This window comes from Homo sapiens, chromosome 1 (assembly GCF_000001405.40).
Source record: "Homo sapiens chromosome 1, GRCh38.p14 Primary Assembly".
Lineage (NCBI taxonomy): Eukaryota > Metazoa > Chordata > Mammalia > Primates > Hominidae > Homo > Homo sapiens.
Genome location: NC_000001.11, coordinates 90,356,307 through 90,376,383, shown reverse-complemented (window position 1 = coordinate 90,376,383; position 20,077 = coordinate 90,356,307). Strand labels below are relative to the sequence as shown.

Here is a 20,077-nt window from a genome sequence, read left to right as displayed (position 1 = left end):
ATGCAGAAGGAAAGAACTATGAGAAGCAAGCTGGTGCATCTTGCAGGGCCCTAGAAATGCTCAGACTTGGAGATACGGTTATCACAAACATGTATGTGTGTGTATGTGGTGTGGGAGATGGGTGTAGGGTATTGATGAGTGGTGTTGACATCAGGCTAACGAGTTAAAATTCCTCATAGAGTATTATAGGACCTGAAGCTTCTCTCTGTACCTTGTGCCAGACAACTTCCTTTCACACAGGAGATCAAAAGGATGTTTTCTGGATAAATTGTACCAAAGAAACTGAATTTGTAGGCACAAAAAAACCCCACATCAGTAAAGAGTGAAGGTGAGGTACAGGTCTAAGAAGTTTGTGGGTGAGTATTTCTCTTCTGGCTCTGGCTGATTACCTTGTTTCATTGGGAGCAGCCAGAGGAGCAGAGCAGTATAAAACATTTACAAAGATTGATTTGAAGATATAACAGAGCTACCAAGACAACCAAGATTTAAAGGACTGATAGAAGGAAAGTGCAAACTGGTAAGACACATGCAGCACTGCTTTTCTCTTTAATTTACAAGGGGCAACCAAGAGGCTGCCATCTTATGGGGCTGGAGAGACAAAATCTAAGTTTAGAGTCTAACAAGATGAAGGGCTTCATGTACAATTCAGACCCCTCAAGGCCTATATCCTAGGAATAAGGGCAAACTTGAAACAGACCTGTCTCACAAAGTTTGCAACCTAGCCTTGAATCCCTACCTGGATTTAAAAGATTCTCCCCACTGCCAGAAACAAATGTACATTAATTCTGGAGGAAAATAATGTTTCCAAGAACTTGAAATTTTCTGTATAAGTTTTCATACACAATATTCATGATTTAATTAAACAAACCAACCCAGGAATAATAGAAGACAAAAAACAAATGACTAGAAACAAAGGGGAAAAAATAAAAATATCCCAAGAAATCGAGATATTGAAGCTATTAGACAAGGATTCTGAAATAATTATAATTGGTATGTTGTAAAGAAATTTTAAAAAATTAAAACTGCAGAGAAATCTATACAAATAACTGGATGTTTTATAGCTGAAAAATACAAAAGCTGAAATTAAGATAGAAATGTATGGGCTTAAAAGAAGATCAAACAGAGTTGAAGAAAGGATTAGTGAACTGGAATATAATGTCAGTTAAAAAAATACAGACTAAAACATGGAGAAAATAAGAATGGTAATTATAGGAAAAACATAAAGTACTAATGGGACTCAAAAAGATCTATCAGACATGTAATTGGAATCCTAACAGGAGAAGAGAGATAATATTGAATAGAAGCAATATTAAAGGAAATAGTTCCCAGGATTTTACAAAATTGATGAAAGATATCAAGCCAGATTCAAGGAGCTCTATAAATGCCAAACAAGGTAAACAGAGAAAACAACTGGACAGGTCATAGTAAAACTGCTAAACAACAATACATACTCACACATACATACACACACAAAACAAAAAAAAAATTCGGAAAGACTCATAACCTTCAAAAGAATGACAAAAGGCTTACAGATGATGTCTCAATAGGAAAACTGAAGCCAGAAGTCACTAGGACTTCCTAAATATATTGAAAGAAAATAATAGTCTACCTAGAATTCTATACCTAACAAAAATGCATTTTGAAAGTGAACACAAGCTCTCTTCCTCTCTTCCTCCCGCCCAAAAAAGAGAAAAACATGAACACGAAATAGATATATATTCAGACAAACCAAAATAGAGATAATTAGTCATTAGGAGGCCTGCACTTTTTTAAATGCTAGTAATATTATTTTGGTAGAAGGAAATATATAACACTACACAGAAGCCATAAAACGCAACAAGGAAAAAAAGCAATGGAAAGTGGATAAATGAATATTGGCTTTATAAAAATATTATAAATGTCTTGTGCAGTTTAAGATATGTTTACTATTTAAAGTATGGAAATACATGGCAATAAAAAACAAAAGTCAGAAATAAATAAACAAAATTAAGTGAAAAATGTCTTGTAATTTCTAGGGTAACCACTAAAGGAATAATAAAAGAATCCATACCTAACGAGATAATAAAGGAGTATAAATGAATAATAAAAATACTTAACTCAGAAGAAGGCAAGAAAGGAGAAATAAGAACATAGAACAAGGTAGGTCAAATAAAGGACAAAAAACAAAACTATAGATTTAAAGACAAATGTGTCAGTAATTAAATTAAATGTAAAAAGACAAAATACTAGAATTAAAGAATAGTAATTTTCTGGATTAAAAAGTTATATGCAATTTATTAAAAACATAAATTAAATATGAGAAAATAAAAGGATAGAAAAATATCTTCCACATCCAAACACTAACAGAAACCTGTTATGATTACAGTAATATTAGACAAAGCATAGTTTAAGGCAAGATTCTTTACTAGAGATAAATTGGAATATTTCATTGATAATGTACTTCTTTTGTGTATCAGAAATATATAATTGTTATAAATTAATTGCCCCTAATATTATAGAATCAAAATGTATAAAGCAAAATTGAATTAAAAAGAGAAGTGTCTATAATCATAGTAGAAGTATTTGAAACTTATTTCAATATCTATTACAAAAAGTTGACAAAACATCAGTAAAGACATACAAGATTTGAACTCAAACATTTTCTCATGAATATATACAGAACATCATACGCCAGAACTAAGGAATACATATTCTTTTAAATGAACATATGACATTTTCTAAAATTTATAATTTTCTAGGCCATACAGTAGATCTATGAACTTCAAAGAATTAATATCATTCAGAATATGTTTTCTCATCACAGAAGAGTTAACTAGAAATCAGTAATATAAAAGTAACTAATAAATCTCCCAAAGTTTGAAAATTAAGGAAAACATATTTTAACAACCCAAAGATCAAGAAGAAATCATAAGTATCAAATGATCTTAAATGAATGATAATAATAATAATATAACATCAAACCAAGTGGGGTACAGGTAAAGCCATTTTTAGATGTAACAATAGTAATTTAATAATCTACCTCAGGACATTCCAAACATAAGAGAAGATTAAATCCAAAGAAAGTAGGAAGAATGAAATAATAAAAATAAAAGCAGATACCAACTAAATAGAAAAGAAATATTTAATAAGAGGACTCATAAAACTAAAAGTTGGCTTATGGAAAAGACTAATAAAATTATGAAAACCTGGAAAGGCTGTTTCATAAAGTGAGAGAAAGCATAGATTACTAATATCAGAGATTTTAAAAGGGAATAACACTACAGATTTTATAGTTTACAAAGATAACAAAAAGATATTATGGACAACTTTAAGGTAATACATTTGAAAATATAAATGAAAGGAGTAAAATCCTTGGAAAACACAATTTGCCAAAACACTCACAAGAAGAAAGAGAAAATCTGAACAGTCCTACATATGTTTAAAAATTTTAAGTATAATTTAAAACTGTCTCATAAAGAAAATTCCAGGCTCAGATGGCTTCATTTGTGATCTTTCCAAATATTTAAGGAATATAGGTATATCAATCTTATGCAAGCTCTTCTAGAGATTGAAAAATGAAAGAATAACTTACAACTCATTTTATGAAGCTAGCATAATCTTGAAAACAATCTGATTAGGACATTAGGAGAAAGCAAAATTATAGGACAATAGCCCTTATGAACATAGAATCAAAAATTCCAAACTAAGTGTTAGCATATAAAATCCAGCCATATATAAAAAGGAGATATCTAATGACTAAGTGGGATTTATTCCAAGAATGAAAAATTGAATTAACATTTGAAAATGTAACTGATATAATTCACTACATTAAGTGAGTAAAGGAGAAAAGTCATGATTATCTCAATACATGTAGAAAAAGCATTTGATAAAATCAATACCTATTTTGATAAAAATGTTTAAAAGAAAAACTATTTAAATTAATAAGTGGGTTTGGCAAGGCAAGGTCTACATACAAAATTCAATTACATTTCTATGTACAAGCAACCAAAAAATTGAAAATAAAAAATTTGAATACATGTTCAGTAGGATTACAGATGAAATACCAAGACAGAACTCTAACAAAAGATTTGCAGAATGTTGATAAAGAAAAAGGTAACATATTACTAAAGAAAATTAATGATCTAAAATAAAAATGGAAAGATGTACTATATTCATGAACTGGAAGACTCAACAATGCAACACGGCAAATATTCCCCCAAATTGCCTTATAAAAGTACAAAAAAAAAATTAGCCTGGCGTGGTGGCATGCACCTGTAGTCCCATCTACTCGGGAGGCTGAGGCAGGAGAATCACTTGAATCCGGGAGGCAGAGGTTGCAGTGAGCTGAGATAGTGCCACTGCCTCCAGCCTGGTGACAGAGCAAGCTCTGTCTCAGAAATAAAAAAAAAAAAAGAAAGAAAGAAAGAAAGAAAAGGAAAAACTAATTTTAAACTAATTTTAAAATTTATATGGAAATGTAAAGGATCAAGAATCAGCAAGACCACAGGTCAGCAAACTTTTTCTGTAAGAGCCAGATGGTAATTATCTCAGGTTTTTTTGGCCAGACTGTCCCTGTCACAGCTACCTAATTTGGCCATTGTAGTCAGAGAGCACTCAGATAATATGTAAATAAAAGGGAATGGCTGTATTCCCTTTCATTTCAAAAAGCTTTATTTATCACTTCAGCTGTCTGGTCATAAGCCACCCACAGTTTGTTGTCTCCTGGTCAAGACAATCTTGAAAAAGAAGAACAAAGTTGGAGAACTTGAACTGCAGGATAACAACACATGTAAAATTACAGTATGGGGATAGCCTGGTATTGATGCAAAATAGGTCAATGGAATAAAAGTCCACAAAAATCCTACGTATATATGGACCCCTGCTTCATGACAAAGGTAGCATTATAGAGCCCATAGGCAACCTTTTCCCCTTAATTAATCCAACCTAAATGAGTAAAATGTTTTAAAATGTTGCCTCCAAGTCTAACTGTATGAAGAATAAAAAGCCTTCAATGGCTGTTGTGACTGAAGATGTGGTTTCTGTGGTTAGGCTACAGTAAATAGTAAAGCCACATTCCCCCAAGGAAAGAATCAATGTAGCTCTTCTCAACAGCCAAATCATAGCTGCTGGTTCAACAGCAGCAACATTCTGTGGCGAGTAATATGATGCTTCCATGTGCATATGAAATTAAAGTCTTGCCTGCCTTCTATGTACATGTTTGAAGGTTACAGACTCTATTCAAGTCATTGGTGCATTGCCAGGCATGTTTTACATGCAGATGATGTATTAGGGTATTGGTTCAGCTATTTTAGCAAACTAAATTAAAAATAACCTAAACAAAATATGACATTTATTTCTCCCATGCTCCAAAGTCTGGGTGGCTCAATAAGGACCTTGGTATGTTCAAGTTCCTCCTGTCTGGTTGCTCTGTCATTCCCTCAAACTTTAATGTGCATGTGACTCACCCAGGATTTTTGTTCAAATGCAGATTCAATTTTAGTAGGTCTGAGAGTAGGGCGTGAGCATCCACATTTCTAACAAGCTCTCCAGTGATGCTGATCGTGCCCACACATCCAACCGCACATCTGAATTCCTTCCAACTGGAAAGTGTGTTAGTTTCCTATGGCTGCTGTAATGAACAGTCACAAACTTCCTGGCTTAAAAATACAGACATTTCTTCTATTATAGTTCTGAAGTCCAGAAGTCCAAAATCAATATAATTGGGCCAAAATGACAGTGTCAGCAGGGCCTCCCTTCCACTAGAGGCTCTAGAGGAGAAGCCATTCCATGGCCTTTTCCAACTTCTGTGGCTGCCAATATTCTTTGGCCCAACAGGATCTAGTCCTGCTGACTCCTTGTTTTAAGATCCGTTAAGACTCATTTTGGACTTCTGACCTCCAGGACTATACGGGAATAAACTTGGACTGTTTTAAGTCATTGAGTTTGTGGTAATTTGTTACAGCAGCAATATGAAAATAATACAGCAGTAGACCCCAGCTACTAGCTTGAGGTTTGTGAACAGATCAGCCTAGGCAGTAGCTAAAACAGAATCTCAAGGCAGAGTCAAAGTAGAAGCTTAGGTCCGTGAACAGGGCACATGCAAGTACCATATCTAGGGAGAATCACAGCACTCAATGGCAGCTCTGGCCTGTGGCTTACATGCGTTCAGCAACAGGGCTGAGTCTGTAGCAATGCAGGACTGGGCAGACTGATGGAGTGAAAGTGGAGGGAAGTCAGAAGAGAAAAAATCAAGCGCAGTGGTCAGCAAAGGGGATGGAGAAAAGGGGATGAGAAGGACTCAAATCAGACTGGTTTCAGACTAATAAGGAGAAAGATTTGAGGCCTATTAACAGTAGGTCTTATCTCAAAGTTGGTCTGCAACTTAAGATAGAGTCTGGGTCTACAGATGAGAATATCAATAGATCTAGCTAAGAAAGGCAGCTTACCACGTAAGACTGATGCTGGCAAGCTATTTTAAGAGTTCAAGACCCATCTCTACAAAAAATATAAAAATTAGCCAGGCATGGTGGCACATGGCTGTAGTTCTAGCTACTTGGGAAACTGATGTGGGAAGATGACTTGAGCCTGGGAGTTCAAGGCTGCAGTGAGCCATGATCACATCACTGCACTCCAACCTGGGCAACACAGTGAGACCCTGTTAAGAGATACTGCTTTTCATAAATCTTGGGGTTAGGAATTATAAGTAGTCTGTGAAGATCATTTTCCTTGACTTAAGAGAACTGTGTTTTTTGTCCTAAAATTGAAATTTTGGAAATATATTTTGCCTAAAAGACCTTCAGAAAATGTAGTAAGCCATCCAATTTATAGTATTTTGTTATAGTAGTCTGTCCACAGCAAATGCCACACTTAGGGGATGTATTTCTAATCATGATGTTACCATGAGAAGATCACTGGTCCTTTCTCTAGAATTGGTTTGGAATTCTAACAGCTTTACCACTGTATTCTTATTCTTCAGCTCCTTTTTTGATTTTTGATTTAGACACTGTGATTGCTCTCTGATTATGACATCTTAATTTGTATGGCAAGGAACTTGACTATATCAAGGTCCTTTCAGGTTGGGAGGTACCCCTACCTTCCATTGTACCTCAGTTTTGGCTCTTCATAAAGAAATTCAAACATATGTCACATAGTCAATATTTTAAATAAGGACACTCCACACTGGTGAAATTTTATGCAGTCATTTTTATTGTATGAAACTTTTCCTTAGATGATGGTAACTCTGGACATTGTTAGTGCTAGCTCAGATCATGTTTTGTTTCTGTTGCAGGTAGGGCATAGTCTGTGTTCTGCAAAGCTGCCCTGTCTCTCCTCCTATTGATGGCACAGCAGGGAGAGCAGAGCACACTGGTTACTGAAAGGCTTAAAATGGAGAAAGATCTTGATGCTGAGAGTGCTATGCTAGTGACCCAGTAAACTGGCACTTACAGGATCCAGGCCATGCATTTATGAATAGGAAGACTTAGGCCTAGAGGTATTTTCATTATAAATTCATGCAAATGTAATCTACCTAGTAGAAATCAACATTAAAAGTCCAAAATTATCTAATACATTCAGATAAGGTTGTTGGTGAGAACTCTTTATGCCATGCAAAATAGCTCTTCAAAGGGTTTTTATTTCATACCAGGTTTTCTTCTACATTCAGGGGAATTATAGTACTTAAATCCTCCATTAAGATGCTATTGATTATGACCAAACCAATTCCATTCTGGTATTGCCTTTTAAGCTTTTTTGCTATGCAGACAAATTGTGCAATTAAAGAAAATAATGTTTAGGAGTTTTGTGTAATTTAAGCATAGATAAGGTATTTTGACCAAAGTTAAGCAAGTTTTATTAAATTAGGAAGATAGTTTTAAACACAAGGTATGATACAGCAATTTGATGATGATGATGATGATGATGATATTTGTCAGATATTTTCTCACTATTCCATTGTGGAAGATTTCTTGTGAATAATTAAAAGAGCTTGTCTTCAATATTCATTTTAAGATATAAGATGAAGAAATTACTTGCAACATTTCTCTTCTAAGATTTTTCATGCCCTTTATTAGTAGGATATTTAGTTTCCTCATGGGCTTTGGAAGGAGTTGTGTTATTGTTAGACTGATTTTTATCTAACTCTATCTATGGTATTTTCCATGAGTAATAACTAGGACAAACTTAATATTGTTTTTAAATATTTTTAAAGTGGAAACTGTTTCCAAGGCAGCAATTTATATGTGAATACTGAACTTGGTGCTGGTTTTGATGTGTGAGCACCATTAGTACCACTGGAGCATCACTGGAGAGCTTGTTAGAAATGTAGACACTCAGACCCTACCCACAGACTTACTGAATCTGAGTCTGCATTTGAACAAGAATCCTGGGTGAGTCACATGCACATTAAAGTTTGAGGGTCCAACCCTCAAAAAAGAGTGGACAATGTTGTCTGCTCTTATTGCTTTGTATTCAAGATTATCTAGGAGAGAGGGATTACAAAGGACCGTAACAAAACTTAGGGATGATAGATATTTTCAATATCTTAATTCTGATGACAGTTTCATGGGTGTATATACATAAATCAAACCTTATCGAATTGCACACTTTAAATATGTACAGCTTATTGTAAGTCAATTTTACTTCAATAAACCAGGCAGTGGGGGTTGGGGGAAGAGAAGGAAGCCACCATAATGACCATCATTATTGTGAGATAATCTTTTGACTATAAAGTAAAAAGCTTTGCTTCTGTAGATTGATTAAATAGAAAAAGTTCACACACATTTATCCTGTGGAATAGCACAATATTATTTGCTTCAGACAAATAATTTAGGAACTGCTAGATTGCACACAGACATCTTTCTCTAATACAAGACTTCTCAGAGTCCTTAATATTTTTTTACTCAGTGAAATTCAGTAAGAGGAGAAAGTAGTTCATAGCATTTCTTAAATATGTTTGACCATATAGTTCCTCTTTTCAAGGAAAATTTAAAATAGCTAGTGATCTGCAGGTCACACCTTGGAAAATACATGGATAGACTGGTCAGTTACCATTAAGTATGAAAGACTCAATCCTGGACAGGTTATTAGGTTGGTGCAAAGGTAATTGGGGTTTTTGCTATTGTTATTACACATTTTATTTCTATTTATGTGTCTTAGTCTGTTTCTGCCACTATAACAGAATACCTGAGCCTAGGTAATTTACAATGAATAGAAATGTAATGGCTCACAGTTCTGGAGGCTGGGAAGTCCAATATCAAGGTGCCAGCATCACATGGTAAGGGCTTTCTTATTGATCATCACATGTCAAAAGGCAAAAGAGCGAAAGAGCAAAAAGGGGCCTAAATGTGCCCTTTTATAGTGAACTCACTCCCAAGATAACAACATTAATCCATCTGTGAGGGTGGAGTCCTCATGGTCTAATCACCTCTTAACTGTCCCACCTCATAATACTATTACAATGGCAATTAAATTTCAACAAGAGTTTTGGAGAGTACAAATATTGAAACCATAGCAATATGCTATTCATCACACAATAGATTGTTTTATTTTTGCTTTAAAGAGTTGATTCTGTTTGAAGGAGATTTAAGTAATGAAACTATTTGTATTTACCCACATAGTTACCATTTTTTGATGCTCATCATTCTTTTGTTTAGATAGAAATTTTCATCTGGCATCATTTTTGTTCTACCTGGAAAACTTGATGAATTCTGTTAGCTTTTATATACCTCAAAAACTTTTTCTTCCACATTCATTTTTGAAAGATATTTTTAGCAAGTAAAGACTTCTAGGTTTAGAGTTTTTCTTTCAATGCTTTAAAGATGTTCTTCTACTGTCTTCTGTTTTGAGTTGTTTCTGATAAGAAATGTTCTGTCATTGTTCTCTTTATTTCTTCATACCTACTGTACTTTTTCTCGTTACTTTGAAGTTCTTCTCTGTATCATTAGTTTTAAGCAATTTGATTATGATTATGATATGCCCTTAAGTGGTTTCTTCATGTTTCTTGTGCTTCTGATTCACTGAACTTCTTGGAACTGTGAGTTTATAGTTTTCATCAAATTTGGAAGATTTTTGACTACTTCATCTTCAATTATTTGTTCTGTTCCTGCTGCTTCTCCTCTCCTTTAGAGACCCTAATAAAATGAATACTGTGACTTTAAAGGTGTACCACAGCTCCCTGATGCTCTGCTTATTTTATATTCTTCAGTTTCTTTTCTCTCTGTGTTTCATTTTTTGGTATTTTCTGTTGCTGTGCATTCAAGTTCCTTAATCATTTGCAGCATCGGATTCATTGTTAATCCCATCCAGGTTGTTTTTTTAAAATCTTAGACATGGTAGTTTTAATCTCTGAAAGTTTGAGATGAAACTTTCTGTATCCCTCACAACTGTACTTATTATGTTCAATCATTTCTCGGCTTCATGAATGTATATATATATGAACATAGATATAATAATTATTTTAATGTTCTGACTATTAATTTTTTCATATTGTCATTTCTAGGACAGTTTTGATTCACTGCATATTCTTCTCATTGTGTGCCTTTTTTTTTTTTTTTTTTACATGTCTAGTAACTTTTGATTGGATGCCAGACATTGTCAATTTTACTCTTTTGGGTTCTGAACATTTTTGTACTCCTATAAATCTTCTTGAACTTTTTTTTGATGTGACTAAGTTACTTGGAGATAGTTTGACCCTATCATGTCTTGCTTTTAAGCTCTGTTAGATAGACTCAATCTAGTGTTAATTTTTTTCTCCCATTATTGTTGCAAAATTATTCGGATTGCTCTATCCAGTGCCCCAAATAATGAAGTTTTCCATTATGGTTGTTGGCAACAGGCTTCATTCCTGCCTGTATATGAGCTACAGATATTATTCCTTTTAAGAGGTGACTCTTTCTGTAGCTTTGGGTGGTTTCCTTACATGCATGCATTCCTTATTACTCAACCAAATAATCAAGAGAGATCTTGGTCTAAAGATCTCCTGGGCTTTCTTTCTGTGCAGCTCACTTCTCTATGTTACTCTTCCCTGTAAGCAATAGCTCTCTTGGCCTCCTTAGACTCCCAGCCTTGTATTGTCAACGTGGGGAGGCCATCAAGCTCCACCTGAGGTTCTCTCCCTCTCTCTGCACTGTAGCCAGAAAATCCTCTCCAACCTGTTATTGGGTCAATTACAGGGCTTGTTTCATTTGTTTCACATCTCTTAGGTATGACTTTCTTCATTGTTTGATGTCCAATGTCTTGTCTTTTTTCTTTTTCTTGTTTTTGGTTTCTGTTATTGTTTGTTTCTTGTGTTTTTGTCATCATTGTTGTTTCAGGAAGGAAGATACCAGACTCTGTTACTCTGCTGCTTATTGAGGAATATATTGCCAGTCTGTCTGAGTTTCTTTATATGTAAGAGACATGCTCACACACTGGGCACAGACTATCAATTAAGTGAAAAGCCTTCAACATATAGATTTTGTTTCCTTAATTTTTTAGAAAAGCCATAAAAGATGAATAAGGCCTAGCCTTTCTGTTTATCCTGTAATCATTCAAACCCACCCTGGTTTGATCCTGACTTATTTGTTTATGACACATCAAAGTAAATTTTAGCTCTGAAACATGGGCAACACTGACTTTCCTGATCTGGGTAATATTTTGCCTCTGCATATCCCTGAATTTTCTAGGTCCTATTTTCCTACTATATAGAGCAGATCTCCGAAGGTGAGCACAGAGTAAGCATTCTGAGCCTTTTGCTCTGCTAACACACAAAGCTGACACAAAATAAATATAGTAGACTGGAGCAAATGTCTACAAGAAATGTAAAATAGCTAGACTTCCCCCTACAAAGCCATAAAAAACTACAAGTTAAAAAGCAATTTAAATTTAGGGGAAGAAGGGTGACTGGCCATTTTTAGGTTTAGCAATATGTAACTTTGGGTGATGCTATTTGTTTTTTCGTTTTTAAAAATTTAAATAAATATGTCCTGGAGATATGTCCAACCCATTCTGGGCTTTCATTTCTCCCTCGCCTCAGTTTTCACCCCTGATATATTCCTGGGTGAACATATGCTTAGATCCCTCAAGCATAGTGATAATTTCTCCTGACCAGCAAAGCCAGTCATTATTTATTATACTTTGCTCTCCCTCCTTCTCACTCTCCTAGTGGGAACATTGCAGTGGCTGCTGGCTAGAAAATTAGCCCAGGGAGCTTCTTCAGTTGGTCCCTTTCCTCATTATACTAGTAAAAAATTTAACTGTGACATTCTCTACTCCTGCATGTATGTGTGTGTGTGAGAGTGTGTGTGTGTACATGTGTGTATGTGTGTCCACATAGGTTGGAAGCACACTTTAGGGGCTAATAGTGAGTAATTTAATGGTGTTTTCTCACACATTTTACTCTTTTTCTTTCTCTAGAGTGGCTGCAGAAGTACAGTATGCTCATGTATTGCTGCTCCACATTATGAGCCAAGCTTGTGGGTTTATGTGTCATCTCACTGTTTCTGCTGGGTTGTTTTCTGGCTGGATGTGATATCGTTTCATCCATTGTCAGGGGGCTGCCCCAGATACCTGGGATGCTCAGGAGATGCGACACTTGCTTGCCATGTGATAGCAAAGGCTCCTGTTTATTTCTGTGGCTGCTCCTTCTGCAACCCTCTGTGGGATCCCTGTATATCCGAGCTGATGGGGAAGATGAAAACCACACAACCTCACTGAGGCTTTAAAAATTTTTGCTTATCGGTGTTTTTAAGTATGCACCAGGCAACTGTTAACTACAATTTACAAGAACTACTTTATTTTTTTTTTAGTGTCCTTATTATTTTAAGTCTGTTCTGGGTCACACTTCCATGGTTCCATGAGCTTTTAACTAATGGCATTATTAGTCCTGCACAGCTTAGCTCTGGAAGGGTGACTAATAGTCTTTACAATAGGCTGAAAGCAGGGGCCACACTTCATACCTTCCTCTGCATCTCAGCAGCGTCTAGCTTGGTGCTGGGCACTCTGAAAGTACTTGAGTGATTGATTTTGGGCAAAATAACCTATTTTCTTAGGACAAAAATTTTGATCCAGACCAAAGACATTGGCCTTTTTATTTTGTAATGGTCTGCTTCTTAAAGAGCTCAGAAATTAAGAGATCTTAGGTGAGGGTGATGGGGGAAAAAGTTAATCCAAAAGGATATGTCGATTTCTGCAAATGCTGCAATCGATCAGTTTCAATTAAAAAGGGAAGGTGCCATCTATGCAATGTTGGAGGAGAAAAGGTAAGATAATGAAGGGAGAAATATGGAAAATAATACTTTCACAATTTGTTTTTTTGTGTTCTATTTGAGAGAAAATGATTCTATACATGGTATTTGATCAACAGAAGGGGAAGAGACATACACTGATTTTTAGAAAAGGTGTTGCCAGTAGTGAGCAAAGCATAGGAATGTGAGATTAGTTCAACATTGGGAGGAAACACATCACTTTTTCCATTACACCTTAGCAATATATTTAATTGACTATCTGACTATTTAGCTTTCTAAGGGTTTCAAGTTGTTTTTAACAAGATTCTCTGTAATTAGGTCCAAGTGGTACAAGACAGTTACTGGTAGAGAAGCTATATTTTATATTTGTATCTCATTAATGAGGCTTCAGATTAATGAACATCACCAGTTCATTTCTGGGGAGAATGTCACCATGGAGAGTAAAACCCTGGTTTTCAGCTTTTCAGGCAAAGCATGTGTAACCCTTAACTTAGCCTAAAGCAGTGTCTTCCAGGGGAGGCATGTGTGAACACTGGTCCTGTCTTTGGCTGGCCTTATGCCTACAAATGGGAAGCAAACCTTTGTGTGACTGATTCCAGGGCACGTGGTGGTACATCTCAAGGAGTGAGAAGCATGAAACTGATCAAAAGAGCATTTGCTGACTGTTTCTCCCATATTCCATCTACTCTGGGAGAAGTCATGTCACCCCATGGTGTGTGATGCTGCTCTAAACCATTTGCAAGAAATAATCTAAATGTCAAGTTGTGGGTATCATGGGGCACTGCACATGTTGAGACAAACCAGAGTGTGAGAAAACTTAGACTGAAGTTGGTTTTGAAGGTTTCCTGGGTGCCGGATGAAAGCCTAATCATCCGGCACCCAGGAAATGCAAAGAGCCAAAAGAACCTTTGTTTCAATCATTTCACAATCCAATTCATAAAGAACAGAGTTGCTACTCTAGGTGTTTATATATTTCTTCAAAAACAATTAAGTACATTCATTCAACAGGCATTTCCAGAGTGTCTCCTATGGGCCAGACACCATTCTAGGTGTTACGGATGTAGTAGCAACCAAAACAGAGGTCCAACTCTCACTAAGTCTACCTTCTCGAGGAGAACAATAGATAGTATACAAACCAAAGAATGTATCTCCTCTTAGATGGTGACAAGTGCTGTGGAGAAAAATAAGGCATAGTAAAAATAAAGTAGAGCAAATCGATAGTGTGCTATTTTATACAGGCGGTTAGGGGAGGCCTCTGAAAGCGTGATGTTGAAGAGAATGAATTCCTTCAAATCCCAATTTCCATTTCTTCCTCACAATCATGGACTTTTGCTGAATTATCACACTTTTTCTTGTCTGTGCAATCAAAGCTGTGTCAATTTAGACATTTCTGTCAAATTCATAATTGACTACATGGCCAAGGATCAGCTCAGCTGAAATTCTCAAGAACTCACTTGGAGGTTGGTTAAATAGAGTCCTCTCCTCTCGTTCCCCTTTGCTCTCCAGGCAACAAAGCATAGGCTGTAGTTTACCCAAATAAACCAGGAACCAAGAAAGAAAAGGAATTCTAATGTCCTTTTCTAACGGAGGATCATTGTAAAAGGTAAGTTTTGATGAAAGAAGACCTGTAGAAAGAGCATAAGAGCCAGTTAGATTTAAATATTGGTTTCTCTACTTATCAGCTGAGTGATCTTTGAATTAACTACTTAACTTCACTCTGCCTCAGTTTCTTCAGATGCAGAGGATGATAAAAGGGCTTAATTCAATGGGATCTGACAAGGATTAGATGAGATCTCTACATACAGCTCTTAGCGTGGTTCCTAGAACATGACAGGCACTCAATGCTTGAAATGAGTATCATCATGATTATTGTTGAAAGTATCATGTTTTGGCACAGCTAATAGCCACATGCTGTATGAGTATGTGTAGAGAATTTCTGGACAGCATAACTCTTTACCCTATTTCATTTATTCATTCATTTAATCATTCATTCATTCATTCATTCATTCAAGGAATAGTATTGAATGGCTGGCCTGTTGCCAAACACCATGCCACAGTCTGTGGAGAGTAAAGAATATACATGTTTTTTGACTTGTTGAGAGAACTGAAGCTTCAAGGAGGACTTGTTTCAGATGACCTTTAAAGTCCCTTGCAAGTTGGATTGCCTGTGATTCTAAGGCATTTACTCACCATCCAGTAGACAGAGAAGTGGAAGCTCTGGGAAGTGCTGAGATCTATACAGGGCCCCAAGGATTTCAGCGCAGGCCAAGAAATGCCTCCTGGGGCTTCAGCCGGGAGCAGGAATAATAACTGGTTCATAGGATCTCCATTCCCTTCCGGTTCCTCGCATATTAAAAACATAAGAATCCTTTACTTTTGCGTAGTTTTAGAGTTTGTCAGGTATTGTCACCTACATCATCTCAAGTGATCGTTTCACTACAACTGGGTAGGAGAAGTGTACTTATCTTACAATGAGGAAACAGGGGCTCAGAGAATTTAATGGAATTGTTCAAGATCCCGTAGTGGCAGAGCCAGAATTCCTATAAATGAAGTGGAAGAGCTGGTATGAGCTCTAGGGTTCTGGGAGGCAAAGAGTTCCTGATTGTCAGAGTGGTCCTCCTCCATTAGAAGACTCCTTCTCTTATGTCTGCCTCCTTGGGGAGGCCAGTTACTGATGAAGGTAACGAAGGGTCGCTCACCCTCCCATCACCTGAGCCAAACCAACCCTGAAAGTCCAGTGTGAAGAGACAATAGCACAATCCTCCGGCCCTTCCCCTCCAGGCGACAGCTTGAAAGCATGCCTTCTCTATCAGGTTTCATGCTATGTACCTCCCATTCCACACTTCCCACAAGAATATGGGATTTTCCTTGGCCATCAGGGGCAGATGCCCTAGAGATGCTGCTGCCTCTCCATTCTTCCTCCCCAGCTCATATCCCCACAGTCTGGGCCTGTGTGGGTATCTGGCATGTGGGCTGCAACTGTGGATGATCGCCTCGGTGACAATGCATACCTAGCAGCTCAGATGTCAGATACTGCTGTTGCCCAAAGGCAGGAGGAAAAGTAAACAAAGCCCTTGCCCTCCTCCATTTTGGGCTGCCTCTCTGTTTGAATTGCAGTGGCAGCGCTCTGAGCGAGGAAAGGAGCCGGCTGGCTTCAGCAGTTCACAGGCGTGCTCCCCCTGCCTTTCTGATGACCACTGGGATAATTCAAAGAGAAAGAGTAAAAACTCACCCCAAGGTATGGAGAGTGAAGGCATTTCATACCGCAAGAGGTCTGTGCGTGTGTTCTGTGATACAGCAAACTTCCTAGCTCCACTCTTTCGCCAGCTTACCTACACCCTGCTCATATGACCCCAAATGGACCAGGACCTCTTCCCTGAAGGGGTTTTGCCGGGGAGCTCACACAGGAGTCTCTTCTTTTATCATGTCACACGGTGGCACACTGCAGTTTGTCCCACTGTATCTTGCAAAAAGCTGATATTCCAATGATGTTATTAAAAAGTGGCACCTTTCGCGCGCTGTGAGAAAATCTTTCCAGTGGGGGCAAGGAGACTACGATACATTTTCCCTAAGGAGCTCACTCCAGCCACAGCGTTTGATGTATGGTGACATCTCCCTGCGCCCTGACATGCACACATGCGCACGCATGTGTGTGCACACACACATACACGCACCCCTCAAAAACACATTTTCTGACTGAGATGAGTAAGGAAGTTAAGGGACTTGTTCAAGGTCACACAGAGGGGCAAGGAAGCCAAGTCATTTACACAGGGCATACAGCATGCTGCCCAGTGCTTTTCGTTCTTAGTCCTTCTCCCTGACCTCTGATCATCCACCACCTCACCTCCTTTTCAGCTGAGTAAATGTGTAATGCACACTAGAAATGCCACTGCAATTCCGAATATCACTTACAAACGGTAGCTTTTAGCTAACAAGAGTGCTGTTAACTCTTACTCCCTGTGGATATTTCTCAATTCAGGGTTGTGTGTTTTTATTTTTGCTTTCTGGGAACTCAAATCCAGGCTCAGCTCAGCATAATATCCAGATCTGTGTGCTAAGGAAAGCCTGGTCCGATAGTTATGAGGTCTTCGTTTTAGCTCCAGCTCTACCTCTGACTGGCCATGGGGCCTTGAAGTTGGTGCTCAGCCTCTCCAAGGCCTAGCTTCATCAGAAGTCAGATGCAAATTATAATGCCTTATCTGCCAACCTCACGAAGATATTATGAGAAACAAATGAGATTATAATCTTGAAAAGTTTTGAAATTACTAGAAGAAAGTGTGACTTCCTATCTAAAGGGATCATAAAATAGTGAAAAGCTAGTGGGCTGGGTTCAAATCCTGGTTACACTTCTATGCTCTTGGGCAAGTTATTTAACCCCCCTGAGTCTGGATAAAATGGGGAGGCAAAACCCATTGGGCAGGGTTGTGAGAAAGATTAAATAAGAGTATGTTTTAAGCTCCTAGCAGAGCACCTGGCACAAGGGAGGTGACTATGGGGTATTAGTTCCTTTCTTCTTGGTACGCCACACCCCCCACTTACTGCACACAGACTCTGAGACCCTGGAAGGGAGTTGCACATCTTACTCATTCTTGAACACGCAGCATCTGTCACTGTGTCTGCTACATTACCAGAACTCAATAAATATTGTGGCTATGAATGAATATATAGATTAGGGACAAAAATTTAGAAGCACTTGTTTGGTTTGAAGAATTAATTATAATATTTGGCACTGTCCACTCACCTCCCTTCATAATTGGGAACATAGGAGTGAATTTGCCAGTTGTATTCATATTGGAACAAAATTACATGGTAATTTGTGCATTTAACTCATAGATTGGCTTAGGATGATCCAAATCTAGCAGCAGTTTTCTTCACACAAAACAAATCTCACTTATCATCTGGCCAAACTCAACATAACAACAACTCGTTTCACAGCAGGAATCCAGATAGACAAGTGAACAGTTGGGGGAAATTCCCTTGTGAAGTAACCACATGCCTAGTCAGAACCGTCTCATAATTTAAGAACCAATTTTAAAAATAACTGTCAAATTAGGCTGGCTAATTGCTCTGGTCTCCAGCAAGTCAATCACAAGTAGGGAGGAGGGGATGGACCTCAAAAGTAAAAGGAAGATACAAACAAATGAGACCCAATGGTGGCCTGAGTGAAATTATACATGACAACATGAATCACAGTATGTTTTTACCAGGTCCATTTTTATACTGCTTTTCCTGGCATTTTTGGAAAGTTGTTTTGGATGGGCTTGTTTTTCAGGGTATTTGATTATACATGCATCCTTGTTTTTAATAATACTCATAAAATTGTCAAATATAATCCTTTCCAATAAATTTACCCCTAAATTAGCTTCAAGTATCTTGAATTTTTAAAAAATGAAAACATTGTAGTAGGTGAGACCAGAGCCAAAGGGTTGACACAGAACATAGAAAACAGCAAAGGAGAAAATATCCTAAAGCTTTGAGAACTGATGTTTGAATATCTTCTTTCTCTTGCTCCCTAAGAAATTAATGAACAGACAACCCTGAAACTTCAAAGCAGTAATGCCCTGCTTTGGGAATTACAACCTCCATCTTGGTTGTTTAAAAATGAGCACACATGGAAATGATGCATCAGCATATCTTTTCAAGTTTTTTTTTCCTGTTGAAAATTAATCAACAACCCTCCAGTTATTTATGGCTCAGTAAATGGGTAAGAAAAATAAGTTCGATCTGTCTAAAAATGAAACAAAAATATTTTTATCACAATGCTTAAGACACAGCCATAGTCAAAAATTGTAACTTGGCAAGAAAAATGTCAGGGGAAAAGCTTACCTCTGCAATCCTCATTCAGTACTACTTTGCAAAGATTAGAGTGTTTTGCTTTTCCTTCCTGAAAATGCCCACACCTCTGTAAGATTATATGTGTAGGTTCTTCATGCCTTCTTGCGTTTAGAGGGTATAGTCAAATGTGAGTGGCAGGATCTGAGTTTCCCCTCTGTCTCTCTGTATATCATCAGAGAGGCCATGTGCACAATGGTTACTCGATCAGTTGTTGAAGCCAGATTGCCCAAGCGTATCAACTGAATGACTCTGGGTAAATTATCTAACGTAGCTATGTCTCTCCTTCATCATCCATAATGTGGAATGATAATAATGCTACCATGTGAGCTTGTTGTGAGAATTAAGTGAGTTAACATAGCAAAGTGTCCAAACTCTGGTTCAGAGTAACTCCTGAATAAAGGGTAGCTATTATCATAGCCAGATCTGGTCACTCCAAAGCTCCAAGATATTGTCTTTTTTTCTGATTGCATATATTCTCAGGTTTGTATCTCCTCCGATTCAACATACACATATATTTTAATGTAGTATAAGAAGTAAGGTTATGCATTTTCTCCCTAGCTGCTCTTTCCACCGAAGCACCAGTACTTCAAAGGCTGTAACAACTATTCCCAAAAGCTTTCAGAATTTGGACTGAACTCAATCACTTTTTCATTTGGTATCTCTCACGTGCTCTAGATGTATGGCCTTTTTCTGACCGATGAGTTTATATCTGCACTACACTGCATTTTAGGAATCTTCTAGCACAAAAAGAAAGACTTGACTTCAGAAGGGATCATGACTGGCCAGTTGATCTGTTAAATAATATGCCAAATACTGAGGAAATAACAAGGAGGAGAAAATTACATTCACACTTCTTTATTGATGCCATTAACAGTGTTTTGTCATCCAGCTGATGAAGTGGTGCCATCTCCCCAAAAGCATCACATCACAAGACTACCTGGAGCCTCATACAACCCCTCACCCCTGTGTTCCAGCAACTCCCTCTGCTCCCAGGTGGGGGGAGGCAAAGGAGGACCAGAGGTGGACTCTGTGAGGATGTGCTA

General features: G+C 37.4%; 1 annotated feature.

The window, feature by feature from the left end:
• Positions 17,595–17,694: an enhancer, noted in NCBI's record as "active region_1301". NCBI's record gives its function as "activates an Ori minimal core promoter by ATAC-STARR-seq in GM12878 lymphoblastoid cells {active_cell/tissue: GM12878}" and the evidence as "EXISTENCE:reporter gene assay evidence [ECO:0000049][PMID:35858748]".